Source organism: Homo sapiens, chromosome 7 (genome assembly GCF_000001405.40).
Source record: "Homo sapiens chromosome 7, GRCh38.p14 Primary Assembly".
Lineage (NCBI taxonomy): Eukaryota > Metazoa > Chordata > Mammalia > Primates > Hominidae > Homo > Homo sapiens.
This window is the reverse complement of record NC_000007.14, coordinates 20,383,778-20,408,229: the sequence shown is the minus strand read 5'-3', so window position 1 is coordinate 20,408,229 and position 24,452 is coordinate 20,383,778. Positions and strand designations below refer to the sequence as shown.

General features: G+C 36.9%; 1 protein-coding gene across 13 annotated transcripts in view, besides 1 other annotated feature; it reads right to left on the bottom strand.

Annotated features, from left to right (window-relative positions):
• The window catches only part of ITGB8 (integrin subunit beta 8), an 85,989-nt gene that overhangs the window by 7,525 nt on the left and 54,012 nt on the right, over window positions 1–24,452 (bottom strand). For all 13 annotated transcript variants that reach the window (XM_011515393.3, XM_017012179.2, XM_047420345.1 and 10 more), the window contains 6 exons: window positions 16,732–16,827; window positions 13,245–13,334; window positions 9,236–9,370; window positions 6,104–6,509; window positions 3,377–3,602; window positions 2,059–2,168 (listed from right to left, as the gene is read on the bottom strand). In XM_011515393.3, the coding sequence (XP_011513695.1) occupies window positions 2,059–2,168; window positions 3,377–3,602; window positions 6,104–6,509; window positions 9,236–9,370; window positions 13,245–13,334; window positions 16,732–16,827 (1,063 nt within the window). The remainder of the gene's footprint in view (window positions 1–2,058; window positions 2,169–3,376; window positions 3,603–6,103; window positions 6,510–9,235; window positions 9,371–13,244; window positions 13,335–16,731; window positions 16,828–24,452) is intronic.
• Window positions 12,054–13,253: an enhancer, noted in NCBI's record as "MED14-independent group 3 enhancer chr7:20434600-20435799 (GRCh37/hg19 assembly coordinates)". NCBI's record gives its function as "activates an origin of replication core promoter dependent on BRD2, BRD4, P300/CBP and CDK7 cofactors, and independent of MED14, by STARR-seq in HCT116 cells {active_cell/tissue: HCT116}" and the evidence as "EXISTENCE:reporter gene assay evidence [ECO:0000049][PMID:35650434]".

Genomic DNA, 24,452 nt, shown 5'->3' with positions numbered 1-24,452 from the left:
GCCTCCACAGTGACTTCGGGCTCATAACATACATGCCTTTTGTTCTGACAGACTGTCATTTCCTCTGGTTGATTTAGGACTACTCAATCAGCTAAGGCAGATCATCAGAGGGGGCACGTGGCTTGATCCCACTTACTGGCTTCTCGCCTGGTGGGAGCTCAGCCAGAGAGACTGAAAGAACAGCCTTTAAGTGCAACTGAGTGGATAGATAATAGAGGTGCCTAACAAATGCCCTTTCCCTCTCCTTGCACAATAGTTGTGAAGGGAGGGGCAGCCCCTAGCTACTGACACATTTTAGAAATATTTCTAATAGGTTAGAACAGAGGGCATTTTCAGAGCTCAAATCTGCATGCATATTTAAATGCTATGAGTGGTCAAACATTCATGCCTAGCCCATGCTTTCCTTAGTTTAGGTCAGGCCGGGGCTTTTCCTAAGGAGCTTTAAGAGAATACTTTTTGTAACAACACTTAAGTCAAAGTAGTGTTTACTTAACATAATAAATGACATGTTGATAGTAAGGCCCTATTTATTAGAAAGGCACTTGGCTTTCTGGAGTGATTGCCGCAGCTCCAGCTGGCAGCACATGGGGCTTTTTTCAGAGCCAAGTTCATTATGGGGTAAGATCAGTGTGGATGTGAGGGAAAAAGGAAACAAAACTCTGGAGAAAGTTTACTCTTTTGTGCAGTCTCTCTAAGAGCTGGGATTTTTCTTACAGGTGGGAGAGACTTGAAATAATAGTTGCAATGGGAATGTTTAATAAAGATATAATTTCAAGGTTAGTTTCTAATGCCCGTGGAGTTCCACACCTTACCCCTGTGCAAAGTAAGGTTCTGGGTTCTAAATAACTTTTGTTTTGTTTTGCTTTTGTTGTTTTTTTTTTTTAAACAGCTTTATTAAGTATCATTGATATACAAAAACTGCACATATTAATGTATACAATATAATGAGTTTGCGATTCAGTTTTTTAAATCTCCCAGAGATGAGTATGCTTGCTATGGTGTGGCTGAGTGGTTAGTTTTCCCCTCTCATCTACACAGCTGAATTCCCATGCAACGTACTTCCATGGAAAGGCATCCAAATAAATTGGCTGTCAAGGCCTCAGTGAACCAGAAATATGAGTTCCCCATGTAAACTCATTTCAGTAACAGATAAAATCTGTGGAGCCATAATTTTCCTTCATAATCCAAACTTGCTTCTAGTTCTGAACTTCCTCATGTCTAATCAATATTTGCTTTCATGTTTCAGGTGAAGCCAAAAAAATCCTAAGTAATGATGATCTGCTTTTACAAAATATGTAACTTCAAAAGGGCCATTCCTTCCTAGTACTTTTCATTTTGATAAAAATATAGCTTAAGGATGAATGATTATAAATGTGACATAATGAAAAGTGTATGGAACTTTTAGTTTGAAGATCTTGATCTAAGACATGTATCTTAACATTACTAGTTAAGAGACAGCAGCCCTCATACAAAATTTCCCTGAGCCTCAGTTTCCCCATCTATAACATGGAGATTATACCAATCTCAAAGAGTTGTATGACATTAAGTGAGCCAGTGAACATGAAGGAAGTATCTAAGGTAGAAGATGACACAAAAACACACATTTATTATTGTTATAAAGAATAAAGCAATGTTTCATAATTTAAAAATAAAGCCCTCAGTCCTCTTTTTTTTTTTTTTAAATGGGGTTCCTCTCTTGTTGCCCAGGCTGCAATGCAATGGCATGATCTCAGCTCATTGCAACCTCCGCCTCCCGGATTCAAGGGATTCTCCTGCCTATGCCTCCTGAGTAGGTGGGACTACAGGTGCCCGCCACTGCGCCTGGCCAATTTTGTATTTTTAGTAGAGACGGGGTTTCACCACGTTGGCCAGGCTGATCTGGAACTCCTGACCTCAGGTGATCCACCCGCCTTGGCCTCCCAAAATGCTGGGATTACAGGTGTGAGCCACCACACCCGGCCCAGTCCTTTCTTTAGCATGGTTAATTATGGGTCTTTTGGGGGAACATCATCCTCTACAGACACTCTTCTGTGCTTTGATTATTAAGCTTTGGCCTACCTGAAGTTTGGTCGACATAATGCTGTTGTTCCATGAGAGCACATGAGGTTTTGCACTGATCAAGTATAGCCTGAGACAAATTGTGAGGGTGAAGGCATTGCATACAATTCCTGCAAGGGGAAACAGAAGTGAAAATATTTATTCTTTAAAAAGGTGGTGGACTATAATATTTTCTGCAAGAAAAAAAAAGACAAAATAACAATGCAGAAACAATTCAAATTTTGATTATGTTCATTAGAACTAACTCCATCATTACATCGAAGGATTGCATTTCCAAATGATTTAAATAAATTACCATGCATAATTCTAAAAAACTTACTTGAGCTACTAATCTGAGAAAGTCAATGGTTTAAAATGTTGAATAAAACAAACTGGAAGTTACAGTGTTTAGATTAGAAGTCTTTGTGCAGATCTCAAATTGTTACTGAAAAATTTATTGGCACAAAACAGTAATGTCACCTTCATTTAATATATAACCTTTCATTTATATATCACTTATTTCTAGGGTGTGTCACAGACACCATTGTTCTTTATCATTAAAATATTAAAAATAAGGCCGGGCGCAGTGGCTCACGCCTGTAATCCCAGCACTTTGGGAGGCCGAGGTGGGTGGATCACGAGGTCAGGAGATTGAGACCATCCTGGCTAACACGGTGAAACCCCGTCTCTACTAAAAATACAAAAAAAAAAAAAATTAGCCCGGCGTGGTGGCGGGCACCTGTAGTCCCAGCTACTCGGGAGGCTGAGGCAAGAGAATGGCGTGAACCCGGGAGGCGGAGCTTGCAGTGACATGTCACTGCACTCCAGCCGGGTGACAGAGCGAGACTCTGTCACAAAAAAAAAATATATATATATATTAAATATAAAACATAGCAGTAACAGCTAACATTTATTCTATGATTGCCATGCATCAAGTACAAAGGTGAGTTTTTTTATATGAATCATTTGATACTTTCACAGATATACAGCAAGGTATTATTACTATCCTCACTTTTGATATCAGGAAACTGAGGCACAGAAAATTATAACAACTTGTCCGAGATCACACGCTTACTAAATAGTAAGCTGGGTAGCAGGCAACCTCTAATTTCAAAAAAAGCTAAGGTAGTGAGTGTCCAGATATACTCTGATGCTTCCACAGCTATCCAGGGGTCAAAGATTTGAATTCAAGTCTTCTAATTCATAGCATTTCTCATTTAATTCTTTTTTAGCATGGTGGTCACAATGTATCTGGCAACGTTTAAGATTAAGGAAGTCAGAACGAAAAAGGACAAAAGTAGCTATTCTTTGTGTATGTTTGGAGTCAAAGAAATCATACCAGTTTTCCTTGCAGGCTGTATAACAGGTGGGGCAGTGTTCACAGAAGCGGCCGATGCTCCTGGGATCGGTGCACTCACACCTTCCACACACACACGTGCCTCTTCCACTGCACACTTGGCCCTTTGAATTGACACAGTGCTGGGCTGCTGCTGAAGGGCACTGGCATCGATCACCTTCCCAGCCACTGAAGCATTGGCATCTGCCTGCTTCACACTCTCCATGCCCTGTGAGGAAGACACCGCAGGACCTATGTTATCTGGATCACTGACTTTGTAAAGAGTTTTCAACCATGGATTCCTGTATCATCTCCATGGAAACGCACTGACAGTCCAATGAATGGGAACAGCATCACTTTTTCATTGGTCTGACACAAACAGTGCTGGATTTAGGAGGGTCTGTTTTCAAAGCTGTTCTACTGTAGATAATCTCCCCATGCTAATGCACTCCGCTAACAAGCACGAAGGGCACCCCTGCTTCAGTGGCTGCCAGACTACTTGAATGTCATTGCATATTCCGTTTTACATTAAAAACACACATATCAAGAAACTGCAAAGGCCAAAGTAATGTTAACTGCCTGACTTGAAATTAGAAAAGATACAGGTATTTGATATGGCTTCCATCACCTATTCTCTCAGTCTTCTGATGTTGCTGAAGGCCTAGGATAACTTTGCAGGACTGTGAGGCAAACTTTTCTAGTGCTTCAGTACTGCTAGTGCCATGTTTAAAGATCAGGTCTCTTGAGAAGTTGAACAATTGCATTCACATCCTCAGTGCACTATTTAGTAAGTTAGCAGAGCAGATCCTCCTCTATACTGTGAGCAGTTCTTAGATGGTAAATGAAAAAAAGAAAGAAAGATGGTGTGTGTGGTGGGGGAACATTATGCATGTGGGGTGAAGAAAACATAGTTACACATAGTTAAATGGATTTTAGACAGTAAAAGTGTCCAAAACTTAATATGCCAATGTGCACTAGAAATCGTCAAAAGGGGGTACATTTCACATGATGATATAGGAATTCTGAAGCTTATCTAGCCACAAACCAACCTTCCTCTTTTCTCCCTCTCCCTTCCTTCCTCCTTCCTTCCCTCCCTTCCTTCCTTCTATCTCTCTCCCTTCCTTTCCTTTCTTAGCTCCCTCTCTCTCTTCTTTTATTGCTGAGCACCTCACAGGGTAATTGTTCCACAGATTCTACTGTAGGACCAGCTCAATTTGCTAAGTGTAAAACTAATGAGGTCCAGGCCAGACAAATGTCGGCCAAGCCCTCTGTGCTGTGCAGGCTTATGCTGACTCCCCGCCAGCAGGCCTGTGAACATGTGTTTTTATTCCCAAAGGAGACTAGTGGAGAAAGTACATGTCAGTTACAGTCTGCACTTACACAGAAACAATTCAAAGCAGATTCTCAACTGCTTGTGGGTCAGTAGTATCATACTCATATAGAAAAGCTAGTACATTCGATATTTCACTGCAAACAGAGACTGGGACAAATACTCAAATGTATTTGAAACCCTCTTGAGAGATTGACAGCTGTGGGACGTGACTTCAGAAAATTCTTTCTCTTCACTGTAAAATAATATTTTTCCTCCCTATAAAATACAGTAGACAACTGCTGCTTCATTCTAAAGTCATCTATAATCCATCCTACCCATGATGTCAGTTACAGTTGAATAAATGTTTGTATATTAAGATATTCTATGTATGTTACAGAATAAAAAGACAATTTTCCATTGCACATTTAGGTGATACAGGCCAAATTTTCAGCTGAGACTACATTATAGCATTTATTTTTTATAGGTTTGTTACGTCCCATATGCTTATGATGACGTTTCCATTCGTCAATAATTTAACAAATATTTATTTACTAAAATGCAAATACTAAAAAGATGTTTTTCTCAATGAGTAAATTTAGCACATTGTCACAGGAAAATTATCACAGAACTCAGATGACAGGTAGTTTATTTAATTCATTTAAAAACAGTATTTTGTTTTAGTTTGCTAATGTTGATTAGATTTTCTGGAATCTAACCTGTAGGTGGCAGTAAATTGAATGGCCCAAGAGTGATCTTCGTATTTTTATTTTAATTTATTTCATGTTTAAAATTTGGTCTGTGTGTGGCCTCAAGGACGAATCTTTTAGATTACTTAGTAAGGCAGTATTTTCTTGAAGAATGCTGTCCTTTGGCAGTTTTGTTGCTGGTGGTGGCCCAAAATAAACTGGAGAGGCTTAAATTACTGCCAGCTTAGAATACCATTTATAATAATGCATTAAGGATTTTCATATGAATGAAAAGTATACTCTTATAGCTCACTCCCCATCATCCTGACAGAAATAAAATCCTCTGAGCAAGTTGGAGGGAGTGACCATTTACCAGAATGAATCAGATCCTTCTAGAAGAATACTCTGATTCTTCTGGAAAATGTGTCAGATATCATCAGCATTTCCTTTTCTGGTATATTTCTTTCCAAGATCAAGGAAAGCATGAGAATAACAATTAATTTTAGGTTTTTATTTTGAAGCATTTCCTGTATAAAATAGGTTAAGATATAAATATCAAAATCACGTACTATAAATCTGTTGCCATGCCCTAATTTCATGGACTTTGAAACTTTGAATAACAAATTCAGATTCAGTTTTGCTAATTTATAAACATGTGATTTAAAGACACTTTAACATCTATGCTGGTGTAATAGTGACAAGTAAAAGCTGCCTGTATATATTTATACTCACCAGCACACAGATTTCCATGGTGATATGGACAAGAAAAGTCATCCTTTTCACAGTATTTTCCATACACTTTTCCAAGCTTAATTTTGTGACATGAACATTTCCCACAAACACAAACTCCTCGACCACTGCAAACAGGCTGATCCTTGTGTGACTTGCAACTCTCAGAAGAAAACTGATCTTCATCAAAATGACATTTATTCTCATCACACTGGAAACACTTGGAATCTAGAAAAGTTTCATCTACACACTTTCCTTTAGGTCCTCTGTTGTCCTCACACTGACAGCTGCAGTTTCTGTGTATATGAATTTTAGCGGTTTCATTAAAACCAATAGGTTTGATTATTGCATAGTTTTTTCCTCCTGTGACATCACATTTTTTCATTGTAACTGTTACATTGAAAAGAACCTAAATTTAGGAGGAAAAAGGAAATATATTTATATACCTTAATTATTTTTATTACCAATATTATATCTGTTAATAACTGAATTGATAAGAAACCATCTTAGAGAAATTAACGATATTTGTAAAAGAAACACATGTAATCTCTTTCATATATATGCAACATCTCTTTTTAAAGTCATTTATTTTCCAATGAATGAACTTGAGGGTTAAAGAATATAATAACTACTAATCCCTATATTGCACCATTAAATAGACTTGAGTGCAAGCCTATCTGAAGCATCTACCCCATCACTGATGATTAATTTCTTAGCAAACATGAGAAAGAATAGGCCATTTTCTAAACTCAGCCATTAAAATGTGGGGTATTGAATATTTGACACTAGAGATAGATCACATAAACCAAAGTAAAGGGCTTCTGCTCTACTGGTTTAAAACCCTGAGATGAGGCCTGGCGTGGTGGCTCACACCTGTAATCCCAGCACTTTGGGAGGCTTAGGCGGTTGGATCACTTGAGGTCAGGAGTTCGAGATCAGCCTAGCCAACATGGTGAAACCCTATCTCTACTAAAAATTCAAAAATTAGCTGAGCATGGTGGCGCGCACCTGTAGTCTCAGCTACTTGGGAGGGAGGCTGAGGCAGGAGAATTGCTTGAACCCGGAAGACAGAGGTTGCAGTGAGCCGAGATTGCACCACTGCACTACAGCTTGAGTGACACAGCGAGACTCTATCTCAAAAATAAATAAATAAATAAAAATCAAAACCCTGAGATAAGATGTTCAAATGAACAGTTTTAATTTTGTTCCTATTTTCTAGGAGCCCAAGTAAAGTTTCGGAGTTAAATTTTAGTTTATACAGGGTTTCAGTGGAGGAAAACCTGTGGCCTTCTCTGATGTTACTCGAAAGAAAAATGTTTAGGACTCTCATTTGCAAATCTTAAGACCTCAACACAGGTTATCTATTTGTCTCCATGGAAGAAGATAGCCCAGAACTAAGGAGCTGTGCTGGCAGGAATTGGTCAAATGTTTTCTTTTTCTCTATTTCTTCTTTTTGCACAACACAATTGATTTAATATGTCTATTTATATTTGTTGGCTCACCTTACCATCTTTAGGTACTTTGGTAAATAAGAAGGTATATTTCTTTCACGTTGGATTGAGATCCATTACAATTTAAAATTAATTTGCGCTGAGCTTTTTGGTTGGAATATATATCTACGATATAATAATATAAAGTATCTAAATTTGGCTTATATATACATGAAACATTAGAATTTGTTCCATAATATTAAAATCAATACAGTTGGTGTTATGCTTAAAATGCTTTTGTCTTTGAGAATGCTGAAGCTTAACAGATACATAAGTTAATGTGGCCACTGCCATCTCTAACAGTAGATCATACTCTGGGGTTTCTATAATTAAGAGGTCATATGACTATTCCTGAGAGTTAAACTATTTATACTACTCAATTGAAAATGAAGGAAAGATGGCATGTAAGCAAATGAAAAGAAAAAAAACAATGTAAAAGCTAAGAAAAACCATTCTTCCAAAATGACATTTTGAAGGAAATAACTATTTCTAAGACAGTAAGCGTTTTTTCATAAAGTAACTTAGTGCTATATTTGCTAGTAAAAAGTTTTCTCTGTAGTTTTAATGAAAAGCCAAAGTGCATTTTGCAAACTGGTATATGATGTCCTTTGAACAAAATCCACGGAGTGATCATAGAAGAAACCACAGAATTAGAAACTTGCAATAATTAATTTAAAATACACAGCTCTAAAATTCCTAAGATAGAAAAACATATTCTAACTAAAGAGAAGAGTCTCTTTTATTCATTTTTAGAATCTTCTATCACTTTCAATAACTTTTTCTTTTTTTCTATAGCATGACATTACATAATTAATCATCATTGCACTTTAGATTAAAAGGGGTTGGAAATCTACTAGTCCAAGTCATTCATTTAAACATGAGACAATGCCTCATGACGTAAATGACTCAATCAAAATCACTTCACCCAGCAAAGACTCCCTTAAAGAGTATGTTTCTTTGTGTTACTCTCTCCGTTGTGCCAATCCTTGGAGAATCTCTATCTCCTCTGGTGCTGTTTCCTGATACTGTTACAATCTGGATCTCTCTCCTTTACATCCCATTTTTTTTTTTTTGGTAAATGATGACTCTTCCCATTTTGTATTGTTCTTAATAAATTTCCCTACCTCCTTCTAGATAATTTAGATAATTATGAGTGTACTGGGGCAATCACAAAGTGAAAGATTTTGAAATTCTTAGCCTTTATCAACTGTTCTATCATTCCCATTCTTTTCTGTGATATGTGACTTTCAATTTTACATTTACTTTGAGAGTTTGTGAATATGAAATCAAAAAGGCATTATCATTATTATAAGTACAGACACTACTTATTTGAGAATATGTGATTTCCTAATTTATACCGGTCATGACGCCTAAGTTTAAAGTTACTATTGATACATGATTGTTTCATATTACACACACACGCACACACATATACATATTAAAACCTGAGAGTTGGAGAGAACAATCAGCTGAGCTAAAACAAGTAGGAACTTTGAGGAGAGACAATGAAAGTTTCCTTGAAGTATAAATAAGATTCTTAGAGTCAGTAGTAAGTAAAATTTTTCAGAATGGTTTGCTTTTTCTGTAAGAAAGTACGCCAAACAACTTAGTTTATTTTAAAAGGGAAAAATGCACACCCACATACTTCATCATTGCTCGTCACGTTTCTGCATCCTTCCATGCCTGGCTTTCTGGACCCATCTGGACAGATGGCGGTAATGTTAAAATAGATGCCTTGTACCTGGTTTTCCACCTGAACTTTCACTTCTGAAATGAGCTTCTGCAGAGACATTATTTTTAAATTACATACGAGAGTAGTTTCAAATGTCAGCAACAAAGCAGAGTCAAGCTTATTAAATCATTATAGATTTAATTTTAACTAGATCAAAGAGTCTGTTTCTATAAAAGGATGAATAAAAACAGTGTTTCCACATAATGACCCAATTATATTTGAAATACATAAGAAATACTGAAGGATTAGATTATCTGCATTCAAATTGTTCTATTTTTTTTACATATTTCCATGACTGCATTTTGAGCCCTTCAAAGATATTTATCAGTCTGTTAACAAAACAGTCATTTTTAATCCAGTAATAACTATATTTTATGATAAAGTGTAATTAAACCTTGAGAACACATATATCATCACAAAGGGTAAATCTTGACACCTTAAAATGTGGAAAATGCTTCTGCCATATAAAGCTGCTAAAGAAATATTTTTGTTTCAAACAATTGAGACTATCATGATAGCTAAAACGACTTATTGACACAGAATTGACAAGTACATTTTAGGGAGGCCATTTCTACACTGAAGGAGCAAGAATTACTGGACAGATATAGTTCTATAAGGCTCTCCAAGAATGGCTTAGAATTTTTCCCAAGTCCTTGGGACTTGTTTGTGTCAGTCAAGCTTGCTGCAATCCTTAATACCAAAATAGGTCCTCTTACTGGGCAGAAAACCATTCATTCATTTATTCACCCATGTATACACTCATTCAATAAATATCTATTTAATGCCTATTGTGTGGCAGGCACACACTAATTTCTTTCATTACAATCTTCAAATTCCAAAGGATCCAGCTACCTTTAATGTATACTTCAGATCTGTGTGCATTTTATTCCATACAACTAAGAGTCTACCACATGCAAAAATCCTTCACTTGCCAAAAAAAAAACAAACAAAAAAAAGGAAAAACGAAGTATGTGCCTAAAGAAAGAGAGTGAGCAGCGGGTTATGAAAAGAAAAATAATTTCCAGTGGCTTCTAATTCTTTACTTGAGTGATTTCTCTTCTTCAATGGTATAATCAACAAAGAAACACGTGCTTACTGACAAATAATTGATCATGGAATTCTGGTAGCGTATCTTTAGAACAAGAGACTTTCCTCTAATTTCTCAAAGTAAATATTATTTACAGTAGGTAAGACTATGTCTTCCAGAGAGCTCATACACACTGCAACAATTAATTGTATAATCTTGGTAAATCAATATAAACTTCCAGTGGTATACAAAGATGTTCATATGTGGAAAACCAGCAGATCAGAAGGAAATGCCTAACGCAATGAGCATCCTCAGTTTACCCTTCTAAAATTCTGCTTCTCTTAAGATCTTAGTTGGCCTGGTGTGGTGGCTCACGCCTGTAATCCCAGCTCTTTGGGAGGCTGAGGCAGGTGGCTCACTTGAGATCAGCAGTTCCAGACCAGCGTGGCTAACATGGTGAAACCCTGCATCTACTAAAAATACAAAAATTAGCCGGGTGTGCGTGATACGCCTGTAATCCCAGCTACTCTGGAGCTTGAGGCAGGACAATCACTTGAACCTGGGAGGTGGAGGTTGCAGTGAGTCAAGATCTCGCCACTGCACTCCAGCCTGGGCAAGACAGAGTAAAATTCCATCTAAAAAAAAAAAAAAAGAAAGAAAAGGAAAAGATCTTAGCTAGTTAGGCCAATGTTTTTCAAGCCTGATGTGAAGACAAATCCTTAAAATTTTGCCCAGTTTGGGGATTCAGAAATCCAACCCCAGACATAATCTTGAGCTTCCCTTTTAGTATCTAATAGGTACAGAGGCAGATTCTATATAATTCTTCAATGGATTGTGAATTGATTCTGTTGGACTGTGAAGACAAAATGAAAGTTTAGAAGATTTTTGATAATATAAACATATATAAAATAATAACAGAATTCCAACTTAAGGAGAGTAGTTAGCCCCAGTAAGTTTTTGTTGGATTTAATATTATTTTTCCACTGTTTACGGTTGATGAGAACTACACTGGACTAAGGCATTGCATACCTATGCTAGGCAAAATAACCAAATGTTGCTGTCTCCTTTGCCACTGGGGCAGTCTGACACACAGGTAAAAATCTGTAAATTTATATACTTTTTTTGGAGTAATAAATGGGTTCATACTAAAGAATTTAGAGTGGTTTCTTACAGCATAAGCTCTTGTCTTATTTTGATTATTCTTGGGAACAGACTACTGATGGGAATGAATTGTAGACACATTTGATTTTCTGTGATAAGTCCCTCTTCAGTCTCACTGTTCTTTTTTGTAACAGTGAGAAAGATGTAATTTAAGACGCTCTTCCTTATTTTACTCAACGTACTTTTCAGACATAGAAAACTATCCTCAGTGAAAACAAATCAAGCAAGATTTATTTTCCTTTTAGAAGATGAAAGTTTAAACAAGTTCTTAATTTTTTTTTTTTTTTGAGATGGAGTCTTGCTCTGTCGCCCAGGCTGGAGTGCAGTGGCGCAATCTCGGCTCATTGCAAGCTCCGCCTCCTGGGTTCAAGCCATTCTCCTGCCTCAGCCTCCCGAGTAGCTGGGACTACAGGCACCCGCCACCATGCCCTGCTAATTTTTTTTTAGTAGAGACAGGGTTTCACCGTGTTAGCCAGGATGGTGTCAATCTCCTGACCTCGTGATCCACCTGCCTCGGCCTCCCAAAGTGCTGGGATTACAGGCATGAACCACCGCGCCCGGCCTAAGTTCTTCATTTCATATATTGTGTCTACTTCCTGCCTTTCTCTTTTGTGCCCAAGCTAAAGGAAGGTGCTGTCTGGAGAAAACGAGAAGAGAAACGAGAGGTTTTTCCACAATGCTTTGGCTATAATTTAACTATTAAACTCTGCGTGTTAGGAAGGGAGTCAGAGAATTTGGGAAAGAGACTCTATAGTTGGCCCATAAATTCAAGGTAGCATAAAGCATATCTTTTGACACACTGTAAAACAATGAAAAACAGGTGGTATCGCAGAGGAGGAAGCACCTGAGGCTTGAAGTAAAGGAACACCTGGATTCTGATCCCACTTTCTTCTGCTTATTAGTTGAACAACCTTTGATAAGTTTGTTTCACTTTCCTGAGTCTTGGTTTCTACTAATATACAATGTGGGTACTAACCACCTGCTTTATAGGTCAGGTGTGAGGACTGAATGAGGTCATGTATGTAAAGTGACTGGATCTTAGTGGTAAAAAAGTAGCAGTCACTATTTTCACAACATCTTAACAGAGGTGGTTCTATTCAGGAATGACGCAGGTTGAAAGAACAGATGTTTCTTTAAATTCTTTGCATTGAGGCATTCACTCTTCATAGGACTGATGACAGCATACAACCATCAACTCAAGAAAACAGAGTATCTACTAAGGTGATTCTTTTAATCAAACTCTTTTGATAAAAATGCTAAAATAATTGTTGAACAATCAAGTGGTTGATCATAGAGATCCCAACCGACTCCTCTTAATAATTGCTATATCCCAGATAGTTTAACTGCCCTGGCAGATTATTGCCTTACGTAACTGTGGACTTCTACTTTATCATTACGGCATAGGAAATGACGCAATTTCATGGTAATAATGTACATTCTATAGCTATGACTTGATGATTCACTGAGCACTGGATGTAGAAGGAAATTTAGATAGCCTCTAGCCCAATCTCTGTTGACTGTCAATGAGAAAAGTGAGGCACAGAAAGCAGAAATAACTTTCCCAAAGCAAAAAGCTAGTTAGTGGTAGGGCCAGGGATGAACTTCAGATTCCTAATTCCTAATCTAATATGCTTTCTACTCCTCCTCTCGAGATGACATGGCACTACTTTGTACCTTGTCACAGAAATTGAGGTAAAAATTTTATTTAAAAAATTGTATCTAATATATACATACCTGATAGGCTTCCACTACCAAATTATTGAGGTTTGCAGCCTTTGATTCTATTTCACCAGCAATGGTGCCTGGCAAGAGGGGTAGAAGATCCTATAAAACATATCAGTAGCATTTAAACAATGACAATAGTATGTAATGGGTTAGCAACCAACAAATAGTAAATATTTTTGTAGTTATCAGTTGAAGGTGAACCATTAAATGAATGAAAACCTATAAGACACAAGAAAAATATAAGCAACCTAGTAGAGCAGCCAGAACATATACCCATGTAGTGGTTGTGTGTGTCTGTACATGTGCATGACTGTGTGTGCATCCGGAATCACTGTACCTGATGACCTAAAAATCCAATCGAAATGCAGATGAGCATCTCCCAAATTTCTTCCATGGAATGTAAAGCCCAAGAGATTTTAAACATACAAAAGTTTTGAGGGCAAATGAGCTTGGGAAGTTCTGCATATGGTTTCTTCCACTTAGAAACATAAAATGCACATTTGCAAATTAAAAGTTTCAGAGTAGGCCTGCAATCTAGAAATGATTTAACATTATTTAATGCAGCATTTCCCAAAACTTCTTTAGTTAGGAAAAATCATAGTCACAAGTGGAAACTTCATGGGGTATGTGTTCTTGATGCATGCTGCTTATTATGGAGAAGACCGTAGGTATTTTTAGGGAGAATGAGCAAAGGCTTTAAAGGTCTGCATGAATCGAAGATGAAGCAAAAATAGAAAAAAGCCAATCTGACTAAAGGGCACGTACTTATAGGAAATCAGATGGTAAAAAGTTTTGAAATCCATTTATTCTTGCATTTTATCCTATTCACAAATATCCTTAAGTTCCTGCTGGATGCCAGCCATTACTTAGACACTAACAACTTGGCATCTCAAGTCATAAGGAAAAATGTATCATTTATAGATTTTAAAAATTCATTTATTAGACTTTTATTGAGCTCCTACTTTATACACTTTGGAGATGCCAAATCACTAGGTCACATAGTTTCCACCCTTAAGGATCTCACAAGCATATAAATGACAATTTCTTCACTAAACACTGTACATGTGAACACGTGAAACAATAGAGATGTGCACAGACCCTAATGAAAGGGATACCTGGCCAGCATTTGAGAGCTGGGGAAGGTTGCCAAGGACTGTTTTCTGGAGGAGATGACTTATAAGCCATGCCTTAAAGTATGAGTAAGAGTTAATAAAGTAATGAGGGAGAAGGGCTTCCAGACATGAGAAGCGAGGGTGGGCAGCAAGAACAAAGGCACAGAGGAGAGAATCAGCCTGGCTGAGTGTTTGTGCACAGGAGGATTAGAAGCATGGCTGGAGGGATGAGAAGCATCCCTGCAAGGCAAGGAACAGTGGGGCAATGAGGCCAGAAAGGCAAGCAGAGACATGGCCTCATGTGCCACCTTAGAGATTTGGTCCTCTAATTCAGAGGGCACCGCTGAAACTTTTACTCAAGGGAGTACTGTGGTCACACTTGTGATTTCAATAGATCACTCTGGCAGCCAGATGGAGGATGGATTATCAGCCATGAGGTTGTTAGAACCCAGGTGAAAGGTGATTGATAAAAAAGATCTCTAGGCAGTCAAAGGAGGTGACTACAGGGGCATGCATGGGGCTCACACCGGAGCTTCCCAGGCTTTGGAGCCAGTTGATTCTGACTTTGTGCATAATTTAGTTAATAATAAACCTGGTTTTATGGTTTATCAGTTAATGGCAAATTTTTAAAGGAATAGGAAGAAACTGCTAGAGCCAATAATGCTGCCAAGAAATAATGTTAGAGAAACAGCAAAGAGGAAGCAAAAGCTATAAAAAGCTGCATGGTATTTCAAAGTAAACTATTAAGCTTAGAGGTTAAGAGCAGAGGATTTGGGTTGTTAGAAACCCTTGGGCAAATATTTAGCCTCCCAAAATATGATTCCTCATCTTTAAAATGGGCATATTAAGATGACTGTCCTCATTTTTATGAGTTGCTAAGAGGATTAGATTAATAAGTATTTACAAACTCAATGCCTGACAATAGTTAAGTGTACAATAAGTGGAAGCTGTTACGATTGCTAATAAAGTGGTTTGGGCCATTTAATTTTGGCCAGAGTCCTACTTCTGCAGATGTTAGTTTGTTGTTACCTTAAAAAGTGGTTCCATGGTATATACATTTGGGTAAACAAGGAATTAAATAAAGTTTCACTAAGTCAGACACAGAAAGAAAAATAGCACATGTTCTCACCCATAAGTGGGAGCTAAATAATGTGTATACATGATGTAGAATGATAGATAATGGAGACTTGGAAGGGTGAGGGCCTGGGAGTGGGGTGGATGATGAGAAATCACTTAATGGGTACAATGTGTGCTATTCGAGTGACAGACACCCTGAAAGCCCTGACTTCACCACTACACAATCTACACATGTAACAAACTTGCACTTGTACTCCATACATTTACCCTAAATAAATAAATAAAGCTTCACCATAGATTTCTAAAGGAAGAAGTGTTACGATTAAAGTAGTGCTTTCAGATAAGGTAGGTAGGTAATAGGGAAACTGGTAGGGGGAACACCAGCTTGTGGCAAATGGAAATGGGTTCAAGTATTTATTGAAGCCAAGAAAATGTAATTTCTCTGCAGTTTTTAAAAATAAGTAGAGGGCACTGGGGACTGGCCACTGAGGGGAAATGTATAATTAGGGAGCAGATGGGAGAAACAAAGATAGCAAAGGAGATGAGGGAGACCAAGTAAACAGAGATGCACAATGAAAATTAGGGTGTCATAGCTTCATGAAAATGAGAACAAGAGAGTTTCTAGGAAGAAAGAGCCTTAAAGATTGTGAAAAGAAAGCTATAACAGGGTTGCAGAGGAACAGTTCTATGCTGGGGGGTCCATGGCACCTCCAGTGTGACACAGTTGCTGTCTATTTTGCTTGAGGGTCTCACCTGGCCCAAAAGACTCCAGACACCACCAAGATTATTCTTATGTGTGAAGGCTTTGACTGGCTCAGACACTTCGATGGCCCCTTTTGGTCCGTTATTGAATGACCTAGACCAAAGCTAGGTGTGTCAGTGCTATTTAGAATTAAGCTGATATTCTCTAATTTTAACCTATTATGAGGATATGCTCATGTACCAGAATAAGAAGAAGCACTCTAGACATGCAAGATGCAAAGACGGATTGTGAACTACTTTTTGCCTGATAAGTCTTCTCCACCATTGTCACATTTGAGACCACCCTAAGCATCAGGCTGGACTCAAGTGTATCCAATACAATTCTCAGTTCTCAGATTTGGTTCTAGATGTTACAAACCTAAATAGAATTTATGCTTAAATGCTAAGTTAAGACATTGTAAAGGATACTTTAGTAATACAATATAGAATTTAGATTGTACAAAGTATAATAATTCCAGAATCCTTATCTGTGGTTCTAAAGAAATGTCTTAATTTCAATTACCAATGAAAAAAATTTAATTTTAACATTTTCAGAGTTAACATACCTTATACCAATGAAATTGTTTTCCTTGAACTGCAAAGATGACATTAATGTTGTTGTCTATTAATTTCTCTGAAAGTTGGCCTAGTGAGGGGTGTTCCTGTAATGAATAATAAAATAAATAAGGGAATGAAATTTCATAGCTCCATCCTATTCAAACATCTAATATGAAGAAAACTGTATGACTTACATAAAAATGTACCTGGGAAGGACTATGGTTTTACTGAAGACATTTAAATTTTTGAAAACATAACATCAATATCCATGTATTAAAATATTTTATAGACAAAAGTCCCATAAAAACCTGTAACTTAAAAAGATGAAGAGAGCTGAATTCAACTAACTAACAAAGAGTGAACAGCACCTCTTTAGATTAACACTGGACTCCAAATGGTGTAACTGACAGATAATTTAATATTCAGAAATAGAGACACGTTAGTGGCAATCACATTCTAAGGTGAAATTCAGTAACAAGTATTGAACTGCAAATATGTATGCATGTATATGTATATGCCTATAAACATATATATACACATACACATTCAAACATCCACATATACTATATATACACATTTGATATATAACATGATATAGTTATATAACATATATATATAACATGATATAGTAACGCTCTTTAGAAGCAGGAAATGCTCTACTCAAGTCCTAGGTTTGTCACCTTACAACAAAAGTTCTCAATTCCATCTTCTGTAATATGTGAATGATACCTGCCTTCCATGATTGCTGGCAAGATTAAAAAGATAATAATAGTATGTGAACTATTTAGTGCATTTTCTTGCATGCAGTAAGTGATCAAAACTAATAGCAATTCTGATTCTTATTTCAACTGCTTATACAAGGTATAGATTACAGATTTCTCAACTTATCATTATGCTCAATATTTTTGTTGTATGATATATTTTATACCTGCTTTACTTTGATAAATAAAATTTATGTTGTGCCAACTGTGGCACTCTTTGTGGTAATGAGAAAGTTAGAGAAGAGTAGGAAAATTGAAATAAAATTTAGTTTAGAGAACATGAGAAATCTGATGATTACATAAATGACTATCTAGAGTTATATAGTTAGGTATATTATTGGTAATATTTTTTCTATAAATACTCTTCTAGAAATTAAAATGATTGTCTCGAATAACAAGTTCATAGCTAGATACTTATCAGAGAGATGATGTTAAAGTTCACTGGCAGTAGTCTCTCCTCATTCACTGGTGCCTAATGGCATAAGCCAAAGATTAGTATGTAACTGAGCCCAATTAGTATCATAACATTTAAGTTCAAATTACTCCATAGTTTTTGCTTCCCACTGCACTCTCCAATGTTAACTGTATTTTCTTTAAGGAAAAATCCTGTTAAACCAACTTGGTAAACATTTCTGTATTGTGACAACTATGTGAACTTGGTAAAAGGGCTAGACTAACTAGTTTCACTTATAACGTAAGTTCTAAGTAACAAATAACACTTTATTTCTCTGTCATCTATAATTGTTGTGATAGAAACAAATCAAATTTTCATGAGTTGCCTTTACACATGATATGAAACCAACTAATGAAGAAGCTTAAAAAGTATTAACACGTAGGTCTGCATAGGAAAAGTTTTTCTCAGAGCAATTCTTAAGAATATAATTGTAAAGCAATGGAAAAAAAAAAACTCCAAAAACACAAATTCTGCCAGCTAAATTCTTATTACTTGTTCCTAATGAAAGGCATAATCTTAAAATAGATTGATGACAGTTTGCATAATGCTAGTGAATAAAGAGAACAAGCAGAGGCAAGGTAAATCTGTCTGTATTGGAAATATTTTTTAATGACAACAACTGCTTTTCAAGTATTTTTGCTTTGACAAGATAGTCACAGCTTGCTAAGCATTCACCCTTCTTAATTTTTGGAAACATTTGTATTTTAAGGACAATTTAATACATGTTTTCAACCAGCTTTTACTTAACTGACATAAAATCAATATTTAAGTGGCACTCTAAAATGTAAGCAGCTTTTGAAGACTTCTTAATCTCTTCCCCTTTCCAAAAACAGGAAGTCACTTTGACCAAATGTACATAAAACTTAAATCTAGAAAGTTCTAGTTTGGTCAGAAGCTTATTAAGAAGATCAGTCGTGGTCATTAGAGAAATGCAAATCAAAACCACAATGAGATACCATCTCAGGCCAGTTAGAATGGCGATCATTAAAAAGTCAGGAAACAACAGATACTGGAGAGGATTTGGAAAAATAGGAATGCTTTTACACTGTTGGTGGGAGTGTAAATTAGTCCAACCATTGTGGAAGACAGTGTGGTGATTCCTCAAGGATCTAGAACCAGAAATATCATTGGACCCAGCAATCCCATTACTGGGTATATACCCAAAGGATTATATATCATTCTACTATAAAGACACATGCATTTCAATACTGTTCACAATAGCAAAGACTTGGAACCAACCCAAATGCCCATCAATGATAGACTGGATAAAGAAAATGTGGCACATATACACCACGGAATACTATGAAGCCATAAAAAAGGGTGAGTTCATGTCCTTTGCAGGGACATGGATAAAGCTGGAAACCATCATTCTCAGCAAACTAACAAAGGAAAACAGAAAAACAAACACCGCATGTTCTCACTCATAAGTGGGAGATGAACAATGAGAACACATGGACACAGGGAGGGGAACATCATACACCAGGGCCTGTCAGGGGTTGGGGGGCTAGAGGAGGGATAACATTAGGAGAAATACCTAATGTAGATGATGGGTTGATGGTTACAGCAAACCACCATGGCACGTGTATACATAGGTAACAAACCTGCACATTCTGCATATGTATCCCAGAACTTAAAGTATAATAAAAAAAAGAAAAAAAAAGATTAGTCGAATTTTCAAGCCTACAAAAACAGATTTTTTGAGCCCTAGAGAGAAATCTCTTTTAAAAGAAAATTCCAAGTACCTCAAGGCAGATATTTAAAAATTACAAATGTATAACAGATGTTTAAATAAACCACTGTTGACAGAAGACCTGTGGATTAATGACCATTGCCTAAGCCCCTTCCCCTTTCCTTCATGAAGCAGCCTATCTTCAAAAAAGTATTTTATCTTTTATTTCACTAGCAGGAGACACGCTCCCTCTCAGCCAACTCTCCTGTTCTGGTGACATCACTGCTCCTGAACTCCAACTCCCTCTCTGTCTAACCCATTACATATTGTTTCTGTAAACTCTGAAAATAATTAATAGAGATAACAAGCACTTCAGGGGCAAAAGGGAGAAGGAAAGCAATGTGCCAAGACAGCTGCTAAGTAATTAAGGCTGTGGGAAGTAACTTATAAATGTCAGAAGGAAAGAAGAGGTAAGAAAGATTCATTGGGGGCAATTTTGGGTAAAGAGATAACTGTGTACAGATGTATGGGAGAATTTTAATAATGTGTATATCTACGTGGATAAAAAAGCATTTAAGATTCTCTTTATACAAGTGAGATCCATAATATAAATTTTTATAATAGAATATAGAATTTATAGTATGGAATATTGTAATAAGATATAAAAACCAAACAACTTAAATAAAAACCTTTTATCTGCGTGATTTTTTAGAGGAAAGAGGCAAATAGCATAGAAGTAATCAGATAGCAGACATTTATTTAGAGATGAAACTTTCAATGATGTGTCAGTCAACATCTGTCCTGATAGTTAATTTTGTATCTACATAGTTGCACTGTGATAACTGCATAGACCAGGGTTTCTCAAGAGTAGTGCTATTGACAGTTTGGGCTGGATATATTTTTTATTTGACAAAGGGGCTGTCCTGTGCATTGTAGGATGTTTAACAGCACCCTGGTCTCAACACAACAGGTGCCAGTAGCACCCTCTTTCCACAGTTATGACAGTCAAAATGTCATAACTTGATGAAATTGTCCTCTGGAGGGTAAAATCACTCCAGTTGAGAACCACACCACCAGCAGGGGCTCTGAAAACAGATCATCTGGGCTTCAACTTCTGGCTCTGCGACTACTAGCTATGTGACACTGGGCAGCTGTCTGAACCTTGCTGGGATTCAGTTTCCATAGGTGTAAAGCAGGTATAAACACTAGTATCTACCACTCAGATGGTGGAGATTAAATAGGTTAACTTCGTAAAGCCTTCACTTACTGTTCTGTAATTATTAAGACCAATGATGAGTAGCGGTTCATGTCAAACAGCTTAAAGTCTACTATGGACACTGCTATATAAGGGTGTGTGATTCCAGACAAGATGCTGATCTCTTTAGCACCTTTTTCCCTCCTCATTTATAAAGTAGAAGTAAAGCAATATCTACATTTCACTGGAATGTTGAATGCTGTTAACTGAACATAAAGAGACAAACACCATAGGTCTGCTCAAGAAAAGACAGTTTTTAACAAATGACTGCTTAATAAGAGAGATTTGGAGGCCTTTCCTAAAGGCAAGATATGCTCTTGGATGTGCTTTCCTTGACCTATGTCACTTGCTTATCTTTCTTACCTGGCCCTGCAGATGTTTGAGTTTGTGGCTCCTGGCAAATATGACATCAGTTGTAATCACGATACCCTATTTACTGAAGAAGGGTATGCATTGATTTTTGTAAGTTTTTCAATAATAATGGCAACAAAAAGCTTTCTGCTTAAGTATGACTTACCTACAACATCTAATTTAATGAGAATATTCCATTCTATAAAAATTTTTATCAAAGTTGAATTTTATTGTGTCACTTTTGCAAACCATAATTTTACCCCATTTGAAAGGCATTACACAAGCAGAGCCAGGCTACTTTGAGTCTGGCACAGGTGATTTCTACATGCAATTTTGCTTTCAATTAAAACAATTCCTACTAAATATTGTTTGCAGAAATCCTTTCCAGGCCACTCTTTTTGAGAATATGAGAAGCATTCAAATTAGTTCTCCTATAAAATTACTATTAAAATGTTCTCAGGCCAGGCGCAGTGGCTCACGCCTGTAATCCCAGCACTTTGGGAGGCCAAGGCAGGTGGATCATGAGGTCAGGAGATTTAGACCAGCCTGGCTAACACAGTGAAACCCCGTCTCTACTAAAAAATCCAAAAAAAAAAAAAAAAAAAAAAAAATTAGCCAGGTGTGGTGGCACGCGCCTGTAGTCCCAGCTACTCGGGAGGCTGAGGCAGGAGAATCGCTTGAACCTGGGAGGCGGAGGTTACAGTGAGCCAAGATGGTGCCACTGTACTCCAGCCTGGGCGACACAGTGAGATTCCGTCTCAAAAAAAAAAAAATGTTCTCATAGTGTTTACAATTTGAAGCAGATCATTCAGCAAGCTGAAATCAGGTACTTTGTAGTCTTTCGATGCCCCAAAAGATGGAACAATCGTTTTTAAAAGCTGCACATGGACTTAAAACTTTCTAGTTGTATTCCATACCTGGCACAAAATAAGTGTTCCATGAATTTGCATTTTTATTAGTATGCATCTGAGACAAACCTGAGAAGCAGAAAAAGATTTAACATTTTCTGAAGTAGAAAAGGCCACGTCTCTGTCGGGAAACAGCAAACAAAATTAACAGATCTCTTTATTAAAAGATCACAATTATCTCCTCACATGGAATTCTGTCTGATCTCAACATTAGTTATAAATGTTTTCCAGACTTTGAAAATGTCAGAAATATCCCTTTCAGAAAGAATAAATGTAATAGTGTTATGAACGTTTGTTAACTCAGGTAGCAAAGTTATGGATTACATTAGCAAAGTAGCTTCTTAAGCTCTCTTTATTCATCTGCAGTCCTGGAAAAATTAAGTATAATTCCAAGTAGATAAGATTCATAGTAAAAAGAAAGCTTCCTAAATGGCATACTTAAAAGTCAAGTACATGTTAAAGTTGCATGAGGAGAGGCACAGTGTTGACTATTTTTGCCAGTGAGAAAGCAAAACTGTTTAATGCCTGATAGGCCTTCTGCAATTCTGCCTCCATGCTATAAGATGCTGATCGACTCAGCAGCTAGCCTATCCAAATGAGCCTGCAGGAAAAGGAATGAACTATGAAGCCAGCAGTAAGGGGATTCTGAGGAGGTATATGATAGGAGGGATAAAGAATCACTGGCCATAATGTGATGAGGCATATAAAAGGCTGCATGGAAAAACACCAAGCCTAAACCAGTAAATACTAGTGAATATATGGTATGCACTAGTACATACAATAGGAATGTGGTAGGATCTTGCCAATTTGAATCTCGCTATTTAAAACTGTGAGTCACATCAACATCTGAAAATCCCATTGATAAGGTTCATTGGATGACCTCCACATACTTGTTCCTTGGTCTTCTTTCATTGTTACTGAAGACCTTCATGCTATTCTTGGCCTCCACCAAGGGGTGGGTGAACAGTTTCTGGGAGGGCTCTGACTAAGGGTAGAAATAACCCTGGAGAAGCTGGGTGGGGAGACAGGGTGAAATTCCAAACCCTCAGTATTAATAGTCTACTACATCATTAATAATTTTTGTATTAACATCTGCCATTTTAGAAAGAATGTCACATTTCAAATTGTCATTATCACTGGATAAATCATAAAACTATACTATTGCTACAGTTTTTTATTCTGGCACTTGATCTTGATGAAAAAGCAGTGGAAAATGTAATTTATTCAATAGTGTAACATCATTTGCCAGCAACCATATACAAATATCACAATGTGTAAATATAAATTATTTTATATGTTGTTTTACAACTTATGCAAGTCAAATCATCTGGTTATACTTTCATAAGACTGCAACCAGAAAGACAAGAAATGACAACAAGAACATTATTTTTCTTTTTCTTCTGCATTTCAGTCGACAGACTGTGGCAAAGTAAAGAATGCAGATTTTAATATAAGATTGAGACAGACTAGGGCCAACTCTGCAATTTATTAATGTTTTAGCTGTTTATTCTCAGGCAACTTACTTAGCTTTTCTGACCCTCAGTCCTGCTGTTTGTAAAAGGAGGCTAATTATGACTACCTTATAGAGTTGTTGTAAAGATAAATTTGATGCTGTATGCAGAGTGATTGCTACAGTGCTTTCAGTTGAATACATACTCAATAAAATGGCAGTTGTTATTAGTCTAGGGTTCACATTGACCTTCAGGAAATAGCTATATGTATAAGCAACAGAACTCTGTCCCATGTAATTTAGACATATAAAGGGTTTTTTAATCAGTTGTTTCCTTTTATAAATACAAACCCCAAGACTCTTGAATCAAGAAACTCAGATACCATTCAACATTATTGGCATTGGCTGCTGGAGATAAAGCCAAGAAGCAAAGTGTTTGATTACTTGTCTTAAACAAAATTTAAAATTCCTCCATAATGGCCAAATAGGGGAGGATAGAGGTCATTTTGAAATGCACAAATAAATATGCCTAGAGTCAAAGTCAAGGTAGCTTTCAATATAGAACATTCCAAAGCAGGAGCACATCTTGAATGTATAAATTCATGGCCAAGGGATCAATCAAAATGCTTCAGCTTCTTTTACCTAATATGTAGGCAGTGACCCTACAAATGAAGGGAATGAGAATTTTTAGGAAGATAATCCTTTAAAACAAAGACCTGGGGTAAATAAAATAAAAGTATCCTTCTAAGGTGTTAACAAACACATTATTCCTTGGATTACTCAATATACTACAGCAGTGACATGTGGAAGGGTCACTCCTTTAAATACTGGGAACAATGACCAAGAAGGTAAAAGGTCTTGATGTAATCATCCAATTTCCT